At 52.9% G+C, this 19,479-nt stretch overlaps 1 long non-coding RNA gene across 1 annotated transcript in view, besides 3 other annotated features; it reads right to left on the reverse strand.

The window, feature by feature from the left end:
* LOC105374568 (uncharacterized) overlaps window positions 1-5,545 on the reverse strand; it is a 6,331-nt gene extending 786 nt beyond the window's left edge. Inside the window, exons 1-3 of the long non-coding RNA XR_940014.3 lie at window positions 5,021-5,545; window positions 4,009-4,051; window positions 1-3,598 (exon numbers count right to left, since the gene is read on the reverse strand). The exon at window positions 1-3,598 is cut by the window's left edge and continues 786 nt beyond it. This is a non-coding gene — a long non-coding RNA (uncharacterized LOC105374568). The remainder of the gene's footprint in view (window positions 3,599-4,008; window positions 4,052-5,020) is intronic.
* Window positions 8,754-9,439: an enhancer, noted in NCBI's record as "H3K27ac-H3K4me1 hESC enhancer chr2:43153519-43154204 (GRCh37/hg19 assembly coordinates)". NCBI's record gives its function as "activates a minimal SCP1, AML or CMV promoter by ChIP-STARR-seq in primed H9 embryonic stem cells {active_cell/tissue: H9 hESC(primed)}" and the evidence as "EXISTENCE:reporter gene assay evidence [ECO:0000049][PMID:30033119]".
* Window positions 9,440-10,125: an enhancer, noted in NCBI's record as "H3K27ac-H3K4me1 hESC enhancer chr2:43154205-43154890 (GRCh37/hg19 assembly coordinates)". NCBI's record gives its function as "activates a minimal SCP1, AML or CMV promoter by ChIP-STARR-seq in primed H9 embryonic stem cells {active_cell/tissue: H9 hESC(primed)}" and the evidence as "EXISTENCE:reporter gene assay evidence [ECO:0000049][PMID:30033119]".
* Window positions 14,390-15,177: an enhancer, noted in NCBI's record as "H3K4me1 hESC enhancer chr2:43159155-43159942 (GRCh37/hg19 assembly coordinates)". NCBI's record gives its function as "activates a minimal SCP1, AML or CMV promoter by ChIP-STARR-seq in primed H9 embryonic stem cells {active_cell/tissue: H9 hESC(primed)}" and the evidence as "EXISTENCE:reporter gene assay evidence [ECO:0000049][PMID:30033119]".

Here is a 19,479-nt window from a genome sequence, read left to right on the forward strand (position 1 = left end):
AGAAGGAGGAGCACCGTTCATGCCTCATTTGGCAAATACCCAGCACGGTGTCTAGCACAGGGCCACAAAAGGAAGAGGCACAGTCCTTTCTCTGTTGGAAAGACAAGGAAAAAGTATCTGAAAGTGAAAGAACAAATCGAAGATGAATAATGAGGTAGGCTTTCGCTCACGGGACTGGCCTTGCTCATGGTTGGTGTCAGCAGGACTTTCCCTGCAGAACAGGGTCATCCACCCACACTGGCCACAGAGGTGCCACCAGTGATGCTGCCATCTCCTTAAACATTTGTGGACTCATCTTGGGGACTCACCTTTTGAACCTCAACACATTCTTTTGATTATCCTCAAGATGCAAATCTCTGTCCTTTGTGGGTGAATAGAATTTTTGGAAATTATGGGTCAAAAGTGACCCCTAGCTGACACAGTTCATTCGATTCAGTTCTGCTCAATTCAACACATAATTATGGGGTGTCTGCAGCATGTGAGGCACGGTAGTAGGCTCTGGGAATTCGATAAACCCCAAATCTGCCCTCTTGGAGCTGACAGCGTGGCAGGAAAGATAGACACTAAGTGTAAAGATGAGTAATGGCACGCGTTGCCAGTGTATCAAAGGGGTGGGTGTTGTGGGAACGCTAACAAGGGCGGGGCATCCGAACAGACACCTGACGTGTGAGCGGCAGTTGGTCAGACAGAAGGGAAGGAAAGAGAGAGAGTATCCTAGGTTGGAAAAAAAAGCATAAAGGATAACAATACTAGCTATCATTTACTGAACACAAACCGTGCATCAGGCGCTTTTCCAAGTAGTTTAAGTTTGTATCGATGATCACATTAAATCCTCACAATAAACTTACGTGGTAGGTGCCATTATTATCCCCCAAATTATAGATGAGAAAACAGAGGCAAGGACAGAAAAAGCAACTTTCCCAATTAGGAAACAGCAGAACTGGAATTCAAACCCAAGCTCTCTGTTCCAGAGCCTCCTCTTAACTGCTGTGCTAGAGAGCTTCCACATGTGCAGATGGAATGGCACCATTTGGATAGGAATAACGAGAATTCCACTCAAGAGTGTGGGGTGGGAGTGGGGAGGTGGGGAGGAGACTGTGAAAGTATGAATTGGTGGACTCTTTTAGAAAATAACGTGGCAACTTATGAGTGCAGAGACATAAATTGTGCCTACTTTTTGACGCAGTATTTTTACTTTTGGAAATGGATCCAAACGAAACAATCAGAAATGTGCATAAAGGTGTACCACGGGAAATGACCTAAACATCCGTCAACAGGCGTTGGTTAAATACATTATGTCACATTTATGCAACTAAATTTTATGCAGCCTTTAAGAAGTAAAGATCATGACTGCTCCTCTTGGTTTGTGTCTTAGGCATGCTTTGAAGAAGCATGAGAGAAGTCTGTGAACAGAAGGGGTTGGGCCCCTCTGTCAGCACCCCTGGGTAGTTCTTGGGGAGGCAGGGAGGCCAGGAAGAGGGGAAGTGAGACTCAGCTCCAAGTAATCCTGACCCAGGGGAGGGGAGGGTGCGACTGGCCAGCGGACAGCCTGAGCTCTGGCCCTGGCTCCAGGCTCTGGGTTTAAAGAGCTTTAAAAGCTTATTAAAAAGGTTCCTTCGACATCAAATGGCTCTTAAAAATCAATATTTTGATGATTTAAGTGCAAGAGAATCAGAAACATATGGATCAAATTGCCCTAAAATTATACACACTTAAAAAAATGTGTTGGTCTTTAGCAAGATCCAAATATTTGAAAAACAGAGACATTTTCCTCATCTCCTGACAGAGCTCTGCTAGGTCAACTTGAGGAGTCCAGAGAGGTGGTAAGTGGGAGTGGGTTGGGGCTCAGAGGGAGAAGCATGGAAATGCCTCTTGGTGCCTTCCATGTAGACAGGGCTGTGAGGGGCAGCTGTGTGTGTGTGCATGTGCATGTGTGCGCCGGTGTACATGTGTGCACATAGGCATGTAGCAGTGAACATGGGTGCACATTTTCCTCTGGGTCTCCTCATTCTGAGCCCGTGTCCCATAGCCAGTTTCATCCTTTCATGTCTCGGACATATGTATTTGGACTCAATCTAAGTTTTAAAAAGTAAGTTCCTGCCAGGCACAGTGGCTCACGCCTGTAATCCCAGCACTTTGGGAGGCCAAGGTGGGTGGATCACCTGAGGTCAGGAGTTCGAGACCAGCCTGACCAACATGGAGAAACCCCGTCTCTACTAAAAATACAAAATTAGCCAGGTGTGGTGGCACATGCCTGTAATTCCAGCTACTCAGGAGGCTGAGGCAGGAGAATCGCTTGAACCTGGGAGGCGGAGTTTGCGGCAGGAGAATCGCTTGAACCTGGGAGGCGGAGTTTGCAGTGAGCCGAGATCACGGCATTGCACTCCAGCCTCAGCAACAAGAGCAAAACTCCGTCTTAAAAAAAAAAAAAAAGTAAGTTCCTTTGGCTCCTCCTTCTGGGTCTGTCCCCTCTCCCCCAGCAGCAGACATGGCGCTGTCCATTTCTGGAAGGTTCAGGCCAGGAAGGACACAGGTGTCACCTTGCCCAGAGGTGACCAAAGGTTCTTCGGCTGTGGGCTGGTTCTGCAAATGAAACCTTAGGGGTGATGGTCGGTGTATAACGCTAAGACCAGAGCTGCAATGGCTCTGATTCTCCGCCATAGAGTGCCAGGGCTCTGGGAGGAGCATTTGAAAACCACATATCTCATGCCCAATCCTCATTTTACAGTGGCCCAGAGCAGGAAAACCAAAGGTATAAGGTTGGGACCAGAGGAAAAGCTGTCACACACGTAAGTCCAGCTCATCTCAATCCAAACCACCACAGACTCACCCCGCCCACTCCTTCTTCTGTCCTCCCACCCCCTCCTTCCCTCTGCTTGGCATGGGGATGGCAGAGCCCACCGGACCTGGGTTTCAGTCTGGTGGTGCCACATGGTCTTGAAGGTACTCTGGCTGTGAGGGGCCGCTCCCATGTTGTCTTCCATCTCTGGGACAAGATGGTAGGTTGGGAGTGGGGAGCTCTGGCCGTTGGAGCCTCTAAGAAGGAGACAAGACACACCTGGGGGCTGGGCTAAGGACTGAGGGGCTCCAGAGAGAACAGGATTGGGGCCAGCTGGCTCCTGCCTTCAGCCCCTCCAGCCTTTCTGGTTTAGGCCTTTCAAAGGCCCCTCACCCTGCCGGCAGAAGGAGAGTCCCAGGTGAGCTGCGTGCAGGGAGCAGGCGAGACATTCGTGCTGTGAGGGATGATTGTGACTCAGCAGGCTCCTGAGGGTGTTTCTTGGGGACTCCACCTCCCTGGCTAGACCTACTTCTGGGCTGGTACCCGGCCCTCCCCACTGGACCCCTGAGCCTTCACTTCTCTCGTGCTAAAGAACATTCTAGGCCCTGAGAATGGCTGGGGGAGCATAGGCCTTTTTCCCAGGGACCTCCCCAACTCGGCTGCTGGCGCATTAGGCAGGCTGTGTGTTGCGTGTCTCCTCCGGTGGCCAGGGAGCCTTGGTAATTAAGACGATGATTTCCACCTCGATGGGCAGTCTCACTGGCCAGGATTGAGGCTTGGGTCACTCTCCGCATCCCAGGTACACAGGGGCTGTCCAGTCTGAGAAGGGAGATAAGGGGGACAGAATATCAGAAACAGAAATGGGGGCCAGATGAATGGGGCAGGGCATCCCAGAGGGGATGGGGCCATCTGCTGGTATCTGAGGCTGGCTGGGCCAAGCCCGTGGGATAGAGTGGAACACCAGCAGCTGGTCACCAGCAATGTCCCCGCCACCAGCAGAGTCAAGGGCAATCAACCAGCTGCATCTGCTGGTCTTATAGAGAACTCACAGCCCTCTCCCTGGACCTTCTTCAGGGAATTCTGGGGACAGGACAGAGGCTTGGACTGGAGTGTGGAGACCAAGAAAAAGCTGGGAATGCACTGGGGTTTGGAGGCAAAGGGGGGTCCCAAGGGCTTCTGCCCACTCTTGCGTGCCTCAGAAAGAAGGGCTGAGAGCTGATGACAGATACCTGAGGACTGTGGCCACTGTGGCTGGATGAGGTGGTGTGTGTCCTACAAAATGCAAAGAGAGAAATGAGAAGGGAGGTGAAATTCGACCTTCAACACCAAGGAAAGGAAAGGGAGTGGGAAAAGACGCCCAGCTTGGGGTTCCTTGTTCTGGACTTGTCCTACTCCTGCTGCCTCAGCACTCAGCCCCTGGAGGCCCCGCTGTGGAAAGAAACAAGAGACTGGAGATGCTGGCTCCCTGGGTTGGACTGGGCAGTGCCTGGGATAACAGCTTCTGTGGGGGTTGGGAATGCCCCTGTAGCATCTGGTCACTGTGCTGGAGTAGACTGGAGTTCATCCCCAGAAGGAAGAGTCATTCCAAGCATCCAGTCATTGCTCCCAGGACTCCCAGTGGGCCATGGAGCTGACACTGGGCCCAAACTAGGGAGGACCCTTAAGTTCTTAAATGTGTCTCCCGCCTGCAATCCTGCCTCTGCACCCTTGCTCCCCACATCCAAGGCCATCCACCATCCTAATCTACTGCCCTCCTTGACGCAAGTTCCCCTCTTCCCGACAGTCTTTGTTGAATGCTCTCCCACATAGGTGTGGGTTGGGAAGGGGTGAGTGGATCTTGAAGCATGCTAAGGTTTGGCTTAGTAGAAAGGGAAGGGCACTGTCCACTCTGCTCACTCCACTCCATCTCCCAGCCTCTTCCTCTCCCCAGGCAGCATTGAAATCTGGGTTCAAACTACTCCAGAGCACCAGGCCAGCACCTCCCTCTCCAGACCCACATCCCTAACAGCCAGCCAGGTACATGGCCAAGGCCAATACACCAGCCTCTCCCTGGATTCCTGCTGCCACCCTTCACTCAGCCAAGCTGTCCACAATCCTGGTATTCATCCTTAACAACAGCCCGGCCCTTGTCCCCCCCATGCTGGTTCATCACAAGCCTCTCTCACTCCCTCCTAAATATTTCTTACAACTGTCCCCTCATCTCCATCCCCCCGGCCCCAAGTCCAAGCTATCACTGCTCACCTGGGTGACAGCCACATCCTCTGAACTTGTTTTGTGTCTGTGCTTTAGTTTGTGCTTTCTGCACATTTTCAGTCGAATGAACTTTCTAAAATGCTAAGCTGCTCATGTCTTTCCTCTCTTTAAAGCCCTGGCAGGCTCCCTACTGCTGACCCTATGAAGCCCTGGCTTCTTGGGCCAGTGGACTTTGCTCCCTGTGACCTGGGCCCATCCCTTCTCCAGCCCCTTCTCTGGCCTCTCCCCATGCTCAAACTTTCTATCCAGGCCTAGTGAACTGCTGGCATGTCCCAGACCTACTAGGCTCTCCCTTACTCCTTTGCACATGCTGTTCTCTGTGCCTGGCAGGCTTGTTCTGGTCACCCGCTCTCAGACCACCTCTGATCTCTTAGTGAAGTCATTCCTGACATTCCAGTTCCCAGATCATCTCATCCTGTGCTGGGTCTGAGCACGCATCGCCAGCATTGCTTCTTTGACTCTCTCCTAAAAAGTCTAGACAGACTCTGAGGCAGGCACTGCATCTAAGAACCAAGCTCAGCACCTGGAAAATGTCCACAGAATGGAGTGAGTGAATACGTCTAAATGGCATGCATCAGCTGACCCTCTTTTAAGGTCCCATTGGGTATAAGCCTCTGGCACACCCTGTCTACTGGGCATCTGGTCCTTGCATAATCCACATGCAGCCCAACTGTGGAATCTGATTATTTTTTAAGTTTAGGCTGTTTGGGGTACAGCCCAGGGCTGGAATGAAGAAAGGCTCTGAGCATCCCCTTTCCTCTGTCTTGGAGGGATTTTGATGGACAAGGGCAGCCACACATCTGAGTGGGGGCCAAGGCTTCAAGGATTCCAGGCCTGGCTCCGCCTACCCCAGCTACAGAGCCATTCAGTTCTTAATCAAGTCCACAAATATTTATTGAGTGCCTACTGTGTGCTCCCGCCTGTAATCCCAGCAGTTTAGGAGGCCGAGGTGGGAGGATTGCTTGAGCCCAGGAGTTCAAGACCAGCCTGGGCAACAAAGAAAGACCCCATCTCTACAAATAACAACAACAACAAATTAGCTGGGTATGGTGGCACATACATGTACTTCCAGCTACTCATGAGGCTGAGGTGGGAGGATCACCTGAGCCCATGAGGCGAAGGATGTGGTGAGCCATGATCATGTCACTGCACTCCAGCCTGGGTGACAGAGCGAGACCTCATCCCCCTCCCCCCAGAATCCTCATGCGCTGGAGGAGAAACAACAGGGAGGCTAGAATGGGCCGACTACATTTGTTGCCACAGAGCTTCTTGGAGGATCAGTATTTAAGCTGAGACCTGAAAGATGGGAATGAGTCAGCCATTCAGGGATCTGAGGAGAGGGAGAGAGCTCTAAGCAGGAGGCAGCCTGTACAATGGGTTGAGTGATTTTTATCTCTTTCTGAACCTCAGTTTCCCCATTTGTGGTGGGGACCATAATGCTTCCCTTGCCTCCCCACAGGGCCTTGGCAGGGTTCAGAGGAGCCCATGCTAACAAATAGGACATAGCTGTTCAGACTCAGAGGCCATGAGATTCTGTTCCTGTGTTTATGGCAAGATGGCTGCCCCTTCCTGTTCTCCACAGGGAGGCACCACCATATATGTCCTGGTTAAAAAGTAAATCAGGAGCACATGTTGTCAAAGCTTCCTGAGGCTGTGTCATGAGTAAAAAAGAAAAAAAAAAAAAAAAAAAGGTAAAGCAGCCTGGGAGGGTCTCCCTTTGAGGCTTATCAGCCTCCCACTCCTCTGTATGAATATGATAATCAGACTCTATCAGACCAGATTTTTGAGGAAAGACAGAGTGTTGGGATCTGAGACAGATGGATAGAAAACACCACCCAGGGGAAATGGGGGCACCGGGTTTTCCCAGCAGTGAGCCCTTCAAGGGGAACCCCAGGCCTGGTACAATGCCTGGCACAATGCCTGGCACAGAGTGGGGGGTTCCATGCAGCATTGATGACAGGATGAGCCAACGTTCCCACAGCCTCACCAGCAGAAGGGAGACTTCCAGGCAACAAGGGTTCCGAGATCCCAACTCCCTTCCCCTCTCCCCGTCTTTCTTCAATTCTTCTGTCGTCTGCCCCCGCTTTTCTTGCAGGCTTTGGGGGGTATTCATGCTCTCCGTTTCCCAGTGGACAAGTGGCGGGGCCAGGGGGGCTGTGTGTGCGTGTGTGTAGGCACGCGGGCTGTGAGGGGGCTGGGGACAAAGGCCCCGGAGTGAGATTCAGGGCACAGCTGAACTGCCCTGAACTCTCCTTTTTGTTTTCAAGGAAATGCATAATCCAAGAACCACCCACGGCCCTGGCGGCTCTGCTAAGCAGGGCTGGAATGTGCTGCCTTTCCCGTTAGTAATTGTTTTTTCTAGTTAGCCTGTAACCCTTCGCCTGCCATTCCCCTGCTGCAGGGGTGAGGCCCGCAGGGATGGACACCTCGGCTGCCCTCCTGAGATATCCCCGCACTCTCCACCCCACTCCCACAGGGTTCAGGACCTGGTCCTGGCAGCACCCTCCGGACCATCTGCCTTCGTGGCGACTCTTTCCTCACTGAGAGGGGCCAGGGCTGCTGGAGACTGCAGAGTCCTGCATGGGGCCTGCAAATCCTTGTTATGGAGTCTCCGTGTCTGGTTGTAGCCAGGGCTGTGACTGTGAATGGGTGTCAGTGCAAGCTGGTGGAGGAATGTGAGTTTGTGTGGGTGGCTGTGACCTGGGATACTGAGGACTCAGAGAGAGAGAGAGAGAGAGAGAGAGAGAGAGAGAGAGTGTGTGTGGACCCTGTGAACATGGGTACACATCTGTGAAAGCCAGCAAGCATGGTTGTGAATCCAGTTTGTGTGCAAGCAGGTGGTGTGAGTGTGCGTGTGCCTGTCCCGGGAAGGAAAAGCCATGTGCACCTGAGCTGACTCAGCACTTCTCTTTCCTGCCCACCCAGTTGAGCGCCTGAGCCTTTGCTCCAGGGAGGAGGCAATGCCCTCTGCCCCCGTGTTTGTGTTGTTGGCTGCCTCACCCTCACCAGCAGGAGGGGAGCAAATGTGGCGCCCTGGGCCCGGTCCCAGTTAGCTGAGCTGCGTATCTTTAATCCCTAGGGATTAAAAAGGTCACAGGCTCATGCTATTTCCCGACCCCTCCCTGCCAGGTCCTGTCTGGAGCTCTCTGAAGTGGCTATAGCTAAGGCCAGGCCTCTGCTCAGATGGAGGTGGCCTCTGTGGAGTAAGAAGGGGTACTGGGGTGTCGCTTGCTGTACCCTGAATCCCACCTTCTTGCAGCACTGACTGTTGCTGCTTCATCCTTGGTGAGGCCTGACCTGTGGCCTTTAATTCTTAGTGTGAGCTCTACCACCCTGAGCGGTGAGGGGTGCTGGGCTGGCCTCAGCACCTGCATCTCTCAGGGAGGTCTGCCCCTCCAGAAGTCGGGGCTCAGGATCACAGAGGGGCTGGGAAGTCAGGAGGTGGAGACAAAGCCCAAAGTCTCCCGTTGCAGGCTTTGGGGCAGAGGCCAGCCTGTGCCCTGAGCAGCTAGCAGTGCAGCAGTGCCAAGGCCCGGTCCAGTGTGGCTGCTGAACATTTGGTTCAAATCAAAGGCCTTTTCCAGCCAAGAGAGGAATGCTGCCGAGTAGGATTTGGGAACGGGCCCGGCAGGGCAAACACTGCCTTAATTGAGGCCCTTCTAGACTTTTAATTACAAGCAATGTTTTCCCAAGCTTCCTAAATTGACCATGGAGACCTGCTGGTGTTAGTGCCCATGGCAGGGACGAAAAAAAAATCGTCGTTAAAGCTTTTTCAGCAGGTTTATTTTAGCAAATGTTTTGAGGTGGAAAGGCTCACACAAAGTGGAGGCCGGAGTCATTTTTCTCAGAGGGCCAGGCACAGACACGGAGAGATCCACACCCACAGGTGTGATCAGACACACAGGTGGAACACACGCACACAGACGGGCACCTGTTGAGAGAGGCACGTGTACAGGCGGAGGACGTGACCGTGGCGTGGCTGCAGAGGCTGTAAACACCAGGCTGGAAATCCAGCTCAAGCACCTGGAGCGCTTTAGAAAGGCAAACACTGTTGGCTGCCCCTCCCGCCCGCTCCCACCTTCACCTCCTCCCACCCCTCCAGGCTGGCTGGGCCTGGGCCTGCTTCGGAGCCCCTGTGCCCTTCACCAGGCCTGTTTACAAGGCCCAGGACAGCCGCCAAAACCCCAGCTGTGTCCCTGTCCTTGTCTGTCTCCAGCGGACATGACTGACTTGGAAGGAAGGCGTGCCCTTGTCTGTGGAAGAGGACCCGTATTCAGCACCCAGTGGAATCCTCGGGGCACCTTCTGAGGGAAACGTCTATGGCTGTTCAGGGAGCAGCTGGTCCAGGTTACAGATGCAGAAAACAGAGGTGTCCCTGAAAAACAGACGCCCTGGGAGGAAGCTCCCAAAGCACCAGCCCTGCTTGTGCACAAGAATTGCCCGGACTCCAGGACTCCCTCAGAGCCAATCTGGATCCCCAGGCGGGGACCTGTGCCCCGGTTTTCTAGCACTGCTCACCATTGCAGCGTCAGCACTGAAAGCCTGAGCTCAGAACCTGTTTGTTTAATAGTGACTGTTCACTGCTGGGCTCTGGGAGCCCTGACAGCTGGAAAGACAGAGCAGGTGCCCCAACACGGGTGATTTTGGAAGCCCCAGAGGGTCCCTGTCTACTCGCTTTTCCTCTTTCCCTGATGTTTGTGGCCCATGTCTGTGGGCCTGGACACTCAAGCAGCCTCCAGAATCCCTCCCAGTGTTCAACAATGAGCCCAGAAATGGTGCATAGTAGAAATGGGAACAAGTAGGGTGCCTGGAGAGGTAGGGAGGCCAGAGACAATGATGCCTGCGTCACCGTTTTGCCAAGGGTCCCCTTGACTGTGGGCACTGCCCAGACACAGGGAGGCCAGAGGCCAGGAGCAGAGGGAGGCCATTCCCTAGGCCCAGCCCTGCCAGCCAGGGTGAGCCTTGATGGCCGTTACAGGCCGTTGCTATCGTCCCTTATCTGGGGCTCCTGGCTCTTACACCATGTCCCCAACCGCCCCTGGAGTGTGTGTGTGTTGAGGGGGGGCCTGCTGTTCCCTCCCTAAACAGACCGTTACTTGGTTTCCGTTGTTTGGGGAGGGGGTGGGGAGCTGTCTGCTTAATTAATCATTTTAGGCCATCCTGGGAAACTCATTAAGCCACCTCTCAGGGCTGGGAGCAGGAACACAGCCCTCAAAGTTGGAACTTTTTGGTTTGCCATATCCGGGTCTAGTTTTCCTTCCACTCATGTGCACACATGTGCATGAGAGTGTGTGTGTGTGTGTGTGTGTGTGCATGTGTGAGAGAGTGGGAGTACAAGGGAGAGTGCCCTTGTAGCTATGATTCTGTGTGTGTTTGCGTTTCCTAGATTCTGCAAGGAACTTCCCCTGATTCTTCTTAATTACCAGCCTAGAAGAAATTCAAGATGCTTAGAGCAAAGGTCAAACTCCACCTGTTTTCCCTGCACTTCATTTTCTGGCAGTTCCCACAATAGTACAGATAAGTAAAAGATTAAGGCAATCTTTTCTAATTAAAGTAATTAAAAAACGGCGATGATTGCACCTTTCATCTGAAAGGGAAAATATTTACTCATCCAACTGCAGGCCCTTAAAAGCATTCAGGAGGTCTATTTTGACAAACGGATCCTCCTCCCCTCCCCCAGCCCATTCTGCTTGTCCTGGACACACACACACAAAGGCTGGTTTATTTAGTAAGCGGAGGCTTGACGGGGGCACCCTGAAAGCTGGGAACCTCGGGCAGTTTTAAGCAAATGGACACTTTGGTTCAATCCCTGCTAGGCCCTGTTGAGAGGTTTCTGGGACCGTTGGGATTTTGATTTGACCAATCAATGTTTTACTGTTGTACCTTCTTCCTCTCCTCCTTTGGGTGGGAAACCACCCAAAGGTCCCTGTCTGCCTCTGATAGCTCCACTCTTCCCTCAGACCTGGCTGGGATGGAGACCTCAAAAAGGAAGAACCGGTCAGAGTCTTGGATGCAGTCCGTAACAACCATATATTACATTGCTGTTTCGCACAAGCCTGTGTGCTTGACATATAAGTACTTGCTCAGTGCCAAAGGGGGCGCTCTTGGGGTGTGTGGCCCAGTCCCTAAGAAGTGCAAAGTCTAAAAACTGTCCTTGGCTCCCCCAGGAGAAAGCAAACTTGCATACAGGCTGCTGTAATTCACTTTGAGTTTTTGAGGCAAGTATAATCAGCCAGTTTCCTGGTGCATGGGGCTTGATCTCACAGATTGCAATTTTTCCCTAAGTAGGTAGGGACAGAGGTACCTTACTCCAGAGGAGTGGGAGGTGTGAAGGCCGACAGAGATGTTAATACCCAGTCCAGCAATCTGGGAGTCCCTGATCGCTGTCCCAGGCTGCTCTCCTCCTACATCCCACCTATAGGGGATGCTCTGGAGCCTGTGCTGCTGGAGCTTGGAGCAGCATGGATAGGCTAATCCCCTTTACAGGCTGTTCCTCAAATCCTCAGAATATGACATAAAAGAATATCCCGGGAACCAGCTCCAAAAACACTGGGGCCCAGCTGTCGCCTGAGAAGGGCCTGGTTTGCCTCTGCCTGCCCCAGGTCAAGCTAGACAGTGTCCTCAGCATGACCTGCTGCCCTCCACTGTCCTCCCGGCAGAGATACAGCCTCAAAAAGCCAGTATGGACAGGTCCAGCTCTGCAGTGGACCCTGCTCTCCAGAGTGGGCTGGGGAGGGAAAAGGAATGCGGTGTGTGTACACACGTGTATACGGATGCGTGTGAGCACATGTGTGCGCTGTGTCTGGCCTGTTTGGACGGGCTTGCTTGGTACCAAGAACAGCCTCAACAGAGATTAGAGAAAAGCCTTTGGGGCTCTCTGTACTGCAAGCTCACCCAGTGTCAACAGCACCCTCTTTGGGCTCTGGACTGTGTGTAGCAAAGCCACCCCGAAACCTCTCTCTTTCCTGGCCTTGCCTCTCGAGTCATGGCCTCTGGAGTGACAGCTCTCCTTGTGTCACTTCTCTGCCTGGTCACCCACAATGGCTCCCAGCTTTCGGAGAAACATTCACCAGCACACCTAAAACACAGGGTCCCAGTGGCCCACCTTACACTCAGGGGGCTTGATTCAGGCCCAGCCTCAACCGGACTCTTCCTGCTAGTCCCAGACACCCTTTGTGAAGCTGTGAGAGCAGTGGATTCCCTCCCAGGAATCCTACTGATCTGTGTGCACAAGGGCCCACCCCATGAAAGGGCAAACAATTGCAGGATTCCTGGGTGCCCTGAAGCCCCTACCCTGAGCCCAGGCTGAGAGCTTTTGTCCCACACTTCCTATAAGCCAGATTTGTCACTGGGCTCCCATAGGCTGCCCCTCACCTTGTCTTCCTTCCAACATCAGTCCAACCCCCTCCTTGTGGGGAAGACAGGAGGAAGCCTCTAGTGCCAGCTGCCTCCACCCAATGGTGGCTCTGCCTGAATTCGGCAGGGAACCTTCAGCACAGCCCAGGGCAGCTGCTGTTGGACCCACTCAGGGAATTGTGTCTGACCCGACCTACGCATTTGGTGGTTAGCTTGCTCTGTGCAAACAGTCCCCAGGGGACTGGAATCCTCGCTGCAAAAATAAATTCTCCCTCTGGACTTGCTTTTCTCATTTTGCTTTCTCTGCATTCTGGCTTTTTCTTTTTTCTTTCTAGTGTCCCAACTGCTTTTATCTTCTTCCTTTCCTCCCACTGAGACCCAAACAAACCTCCTGGTAAACAAACTCTCAGGCCAGTCTCTTAAAGAGACAGTATGTGTTTGTTGCCATCTGGATGTCCAGTCCTGCTCAGGGGCTGCATGAGGTCTGGGGGCAGATGGGCTGTGAGGTGTTAAAGATCATTCAAGAGACTCACAGGAAAAAGCTGGCCTAGAACAGTGCACCGAGAAAATTGCCCTAAGAGCCCCCTCTCCTTTCCCACTCTCACCTGAAAATACAGAACAGGAGGGACCAGCGGGGTTTCCCTTTAGCCAGTCTCTCTGAGTGGTGTTGTTGAGACTATTGTCTGCTTTTGTCTGCATGACCTGGAAAGGATTCCTTTTTTTTTTTTTTTTTTTTTTTTTTTTTTGAGACGCAGCCTTGCTCTGTCGCCCAGGCTGGAGTGCAGTGGCGCAATCTTGGCTCACTACAACCTCCACCTCCCAGGTTCACGCCATTCTCCTGCCTCAGCCTCCCAAGTAGCTGGGATTACAGGTGCCCGCCACCACGCCTGGCTAATTTTTTGTATTTTTAGTAGAGACGGGGTTTCACCATGTTGACCAGGCTGGTCTCGAACTCCTGACCTCAGGTGAGCCGCCCTCCTCGGCCTCCCAAAGTGCTAGGATTACAGGTGTGAGCCACCTCGCCTGGGCAGGATTAAGAGTGTGATTTAAAAAAGAATATTTTCATGTCAACCTCCTCCTGCTCTGCCCCACCAGGTGAACACATCTCTGAAGTGATCATATCAAACAGAGGCAATGTGAGGAGAGGGACAAATCTAGCTTGCACACCACTTTCCTGAAACTTGGTGACTTTGTGACTTGGAGGGACTCTGCTCTTAATTTGTCATTGTGTGTGTGTTGCTGGCTTGGTGGGTGGAAGTCACTGCGGGGCAGGGGAAGTGTGTGCATACTCTTGAGTATGCATGTGTGAGTATGTGTCTGCACCAGTGCCAGACAGCTGCCTTGAGGGTCTCTGCCTGGAACAGGGTTCTCCACCGTGCTGAGCATGTGGACAAGCTGAGGATGCCCCTCACTTCCCATCTGAGTGGTCTGAATGAAAAGACTGGCATCTATCTCCCGGAGAGTGGGGCTGTGCTCATTCCTGTTGCCCAACTGGCAGAGCAGCCACAGGGCCCAGCCCAGGGACAGACAGCATCCAGGCCAGGGCTTCCTGGGGATCCTGTGAAGATCCAGGTTCCTTTGCAGTAGGTCAGCAGAGGCTGAGATTCTGCATTTGTAACCTGCTTCCTGGTGGGGGCGCTGAGCAGCTGCTCTCCAGCCTATGATCTGGGCAGTGAGGTGGGAGAGAGGTGGCATGGTGGTCCTGCTGCCCACTGAGAAGGCAAGGCTGTCTCTGCCACTGCCTCTTCCCTGTCCCCTGCGTCGGGGGCTGGCCGCTGCCAGGCACAGGTACCGCCCTCAAGGGACAACAGCTGACAACTTCTAAACCAGGGCTCTGTGGAACAAACCACACCTAACGAAGGTGTTTTTTCCCCTTTAAGAGAATACATTCCTCAGCAGGATAGTGGCCCCAGGTTCTCTCCCACTACCACTTGGAAGCCAGGCAGAAAAATTGCCTGGTGGGCAGGATTACAGGATTAGTCAGCTTTCCCAAAACAGACCCACAGGCTCTTAGGTGGAAATGAGTTTTGGTCTGAGCCCTTCTTTCCTGGTGACAGATGTGTTTGCTGGGCCCTCCCCCTGTCTCACTCCTCAAGTCTCGCCTCTTCCTGAGTGCTCAGAACTCCCATGCTCCCTCACTCAGGCCCCGGGAATTGGGGGGAAACAGGTTTGGTGGAAATGAGCCTTAGGGTTCAAGCATCCAGGCCCTGGGAGGAGGGTGGCACTGCTTGGACCAAGGGGCTGGCTTTACCGACCCCTCCCCATCCCCACCAAAGAGCAGCCCTGCCGAATCTACCCTGTGCTGGAGGTGCCGAGTGGAGCCCAATAAGCCGTGATGGTCGCGGGATTGTCTGCTCCTGCCCCAGATTCCCATCGTCCCTCTGTCCCCACTGGGTCTTGGGGTGTCTCGGCCTCCCTGAGCTGGGCCTGCCCTGCAATCTCAGAGTCTGCAGTGTGTGAGCTGGCCTGTGCCAATTCCAGAGCTGGTGTTTCCCAGAAACCAAGGGACTGAAGACCAGTTGCTGAGGGCAAGCCACCGTGCTGGGACACTCAGATGTCTGAGGATGTCACTGTGGCTAGATCCAAGATTTGGACCTAAGCGAGGGAGGATGTCTCATAATTCTCTGCATGGAACCAGCAGCCTTGCTTGCATTTAGAAGTTCCTTGCAAAGAATCATATACTCACAGCTGGTGTCCTATACAGGGGATGTTCTCCTTGGAGCATTTTTCTTTTTCTTTAGATAAAGCTGGCAAAAGAAAATAAACTTTGGTTCTTTTAATAGCCCCTATAATCCTTGGAGTCAGTGTGGTCCTCCTTTCAGCTCTTTGGCTCCTCAGGAATCTGATGGGGCTCTCCTGGCAATCTGTCTGGAAGCCACGTTCTGCCACCATGTGATAGCCACTGGGGGCTGCCTGGACTGGCTCCTCTAGGCTGTTATATCCCAGGCCATGCCCAGAAACCGGAGTCCTGAGCTGAGGGCAGATTTCAGAGCATGGTAGGCCCAAGGCCAGAGCTCTCTTGAGGCTAACGTCAGAGCTGACTGTGATCAAAGACAGGGCTGAGCTGTCAAACTTTCTCAAAGAAGGGCTGATACTTCTTTTAAGGGTACGATATTACCTGTGAACTAAATAGTTCTCATGAGTAATTGCTGGACGGAAATGTATAGATCTCCTAACTTTGGCTTGCATCAAGGCTTGTAAAAACACCTATTTCTGGGCCCTGCCTGAGAGGTTCTGACTGAATAGGAGAAGCCGAGAATTTGTATTTCCTTTCATTTTATTTTAGAGATGGGGATTTCACTCTGTCACCCAGGCTAGAGTGCAGTGGTGCAATCGTAGCTCACTGCAGCCTTGAACTCTTGGGTTCAAGTGATCCTCCTACCTCAGCCTCCCAAGTAGATGGGACCACGTGTGTGCACCACTACACCCAGCTAATTTTTTAAAACTCTTTTTTTTTTTTTTTTTTTCTTTGTGCAGACGAGGTCTCGCTCTGTTGCCCAGACTGGTCCTAAACTCCTGGCCTCAAGTACTCCTCCTGCTTGGGCCTTCCAAATTGTTGGGATCATAGGTATGAACCACCATGCCCAGCCTAGAATTAGTATTTCTAACAAGTTCTCAAATGATGCTGATGCTGAAGGGGCCACACCTTAAGAACCACTGTCCTAGTGCATTTCTCCGATTTTACAGATGCAGAAACCACGGCCCAGGGAAGACGCAGCTTGAGCAAGGTCACCGGCAGGTAAGTGGTGCAGCTACAGTAAAGGTCTCCCACTCCCAGGTTAGCGAAGAGTCACTGCCCAGCCCTGCCTCATGGCCTTAAGCCCAGGGTCACACAGCTGGTAGTCAGCCCTTCTTATAGGCTGCCATGGCCCACTGGGCACTACTTAGTGCTTAGAAGACGAGTTAGTGCTGGTAGCACCCAGTTGGTGCTGGAAAAGGAAGTGGCGTGTTTTGGCGTGTCCTGGCCTCCAGGCTGAAAACTGTTTATTTGGACAATTAAGAACATGGCTTCAGCTGAACCACAAAATCAGACGGAAACCTTTATCTTGGGTGGCACGTTCTTGGTTTCCTCCCATGCCCTGGCAGGCTTGTGGTGTGGGGCCACGCTGGCCAGGGTGGGTCTGGGAATGGTTCCAGTGGCTCTGGCCTCCACCCTGGAGAGGTCGGTTAAGTGTGTCAGGAGCAAGCCTTTGGTTGCCGTTTGTGTTGATGATGCAGATGGAAAGGTGGGTGTTGGGGGCCCCCAAGCTCTTTAAACCCCTAGGGCCTCTGGGGTCCCTTGAGGTGAGGCTTCTTCTGCAATTGACCATAAAATTCAGTGTCTGCCACACCACCTTCCCCTACTGCAGATCTTGTCTCCAATGATTTACCCTCCTCCCTCCAGCCAAGAAATGGGTGAATTCACATCACCTACTCCCCATTCCAGCACCCCAGGGGAGCCCTTGGTTCCGGCACCACCTCCCCTTCTGTCCCCATCCCTTTTCAGCCCCCATCCCTCTAGGGTTCTGGGCCTCTACCTCCATGTGAGGTATGAGGGTAAGATAAGTGAGGTGTTTGCTTACAACCCTCGTTGAAGTTTAAGCTTCTCCCATACTAGGAATGGGGCTTGAGGCCCCAGGGCCTAGGATCCCTACTGAGGATTATGGTCGAGGCTGGAGAACAAAAGCCAACAGCTTTGTGCCACTCCACTCTCCAGAACTCCCAATCAAAACAAACAGAACAAACACCGGGAGTTGCAAAGATCCATTCTGAGAATTTGCTATACATTGGCTCCGTCACTCGGGCAACATGAGGGCCATAGTGGACTCAGAGAGGGGCCCCTGCCCGGTGAGAGAAAAGGACAAGCTTAGCAATAATTAGAGAAGAAGCTGGAGCTGGAGAGGCAGATAAAGAGCTATGGGGTCAGACGAGGGTGGGGTTGCTTCAGCTTCATGCTTGGTGGCCAGAGGTGCTCATAGGAAAAACAAAACCGGAGTTGCAGCCTCCCCCAGCACCATCCCCCAAGTAGCGCCGAGAGGAGCTGCCCACCTGGGCTGCAGCAGGTCACACTTAGCCACTGTGTTGAGACACAGTCTCATGACTGCCACTTGGGGAACGGCCACTCTGCCTCCCTGTCTGGGCTGTGCTCCCTGCCCGCAACGGACACCAAGCAGGCCTGCCCGGCTCTCAGACCTTCCGGAGCTCCCGCCTGTGTCCCTGTGAACATCAATAGGACTTGTTTCCAGAACCTCAGGTTTGTTTTTTTAAAAATTTTATTTTAGGTTTAGGGGTACATGTGAAGGTTTTTACGTAGGTGAACTCGTGTCACAGAGGTTTGTTGTACAGATTATTTCATCACCCAGGTATTAAGCCCAGTACCCAATAGTTATCTTTTCTGCTCCTCTCCCGCCTCCCACCCTCCACCCTCAAGTAGCCCCCAGTGTCTGTTCAGAGCCTCAGGTTTTAAAATCCTACATCTTACTCTGTTTCTAAATGACTCTCATCTGCCAATCTTGTCTCCCTAGTTTCACACTATAAAAACTTCTTAGGCTGGGCATAGTGGCTCACGCCTATTATCCCAACACTTTGGGAGGCTGAGGCGGGCGTATCACCTGAGGTCAGGAGTTCGAGACTAGCCTGGTCAACATGGTGAAACCCCATGTCTACTAAAAATACAAAATTAGCTGGGCATGATGGCGCATACCTGTAGTCTCAGCTATATGGGGGGTTGAGGTACGACAATTGCTTGAACCCAGGAGGTGGAGGCTGCAGTGAGTGAGATCACACCACTGCACTCCAGCCTGGGCAACAGAGTGAGACCCTATCTCAAAACAAAACAAAACACAAAACACCTTCTTAGGCAGGAACTGAGTCTGCTGCCAGTCACAAGCTCCACCCATCACACCCCTCCTCTCATGCCCCACCTGGATCTCAGTTGTGGCTGATGAGTGATTTTGGCAGTCACTACCTAGGCTAATGACGCTTGTCACAGAGCGTGTGTGACTGCAGGAGACTGCAGGAGATGGGGGCACTGGAACACATCTGGCCTCTATCTGCCTCAGCTGCTACCTTGGGGCACATCTTCCACCCCCAGTGCCCCCCTCACACTGGGGACAGGGCTGAGGGCCTAGGAGGCGAGAGGGTGATGTCTTCCACTGGGATGTGCCTTCCCCAGCTGCTCGGTGCGCACTCTCCTGCAGATTCCAGCAAAGAAGGCGGAGGGAGGGAGCCCCAAGGGGCACAGTCAGATCCCCAGTCCGTTTCTCCTTCCTGGCTCCAGACCCAATTTTAAAAGAAAGAAGCGGCAGCAAAGAAAATAACTGCAGTGCTGTTAGTGCTGTTAGATGAGGAGGGCAGCCCAGGGTTGAGCTGAGGGCGTTGGGGGTCAGCAGCCCAGGGAGGTGAAAATTAAGCAAGAGTGTGAAGAATTCTGCATTGCTTCAAAATTAGTCAATTGCTTCCACATTTATATAGACGCCTAAAGATGACATGGTGAGGGAGAGGGGATGAGAAACGGGATTACACAACAAACACCTGGGAGGATCCTGTGGGTTGCCCATCAGCCCCTAGGCCAGTGGCTCAGGGAGGTGACAACGCATCCCTGTCCTCCTCTGCCTCTCCCTCCCTGGTCTACTGGTCCCACCCTGCCCCTGCCTGGGGCAGCCTGGAGGTTCTGAGTGCAGCAGGAGCCTTCCCTCAGGCTGGGTCCTCACCCTGCCCCATTTCCTGGAGACCTTGGGAAAGTTTTCCAAGTTCCGGGCTGGGGTCCTTGAGGAATGAGGGGAAGTCACCTGCTGCAGCTCGGCTGGGAGGAGGGGAAGGAGGGACAGAGAGCCGAGGACTCTCTGGGCCCATCCCTCTCCAGGAAAGAGGAGGGAAGGGTAAAGAGAGGCCAGAAGAGGAGAGAGGCAACTGGCTCTTTCAGAGGTCTTGTCCTGTGACCTGCCCCTCAGCAGAGTCCCCTGGGCCCCTCATGCTTTGGAGAAGAGGCCAGACTTTAGGGACAGTCAGTAACAACCATCACTCTGGTTTATTGAGTGAGTGCCACACCCCAGGCACAGAGCTTAACGCTTCACATACGTGTTTCGTGTAATTGTCACAACACCCTCCCC

Source organism: Homo sapiens, chromosome 2 (genome assembly GCF_000001405.40).
Source record: "Homo sapiens chromosome 2, GRCh38.p14 Primary Assembly".
Lineage (NCBI taxonomy): Eukaryota > Metazoa > Chordata > Mammalia > Primates > Hominidae > Homo > Homo sapiens.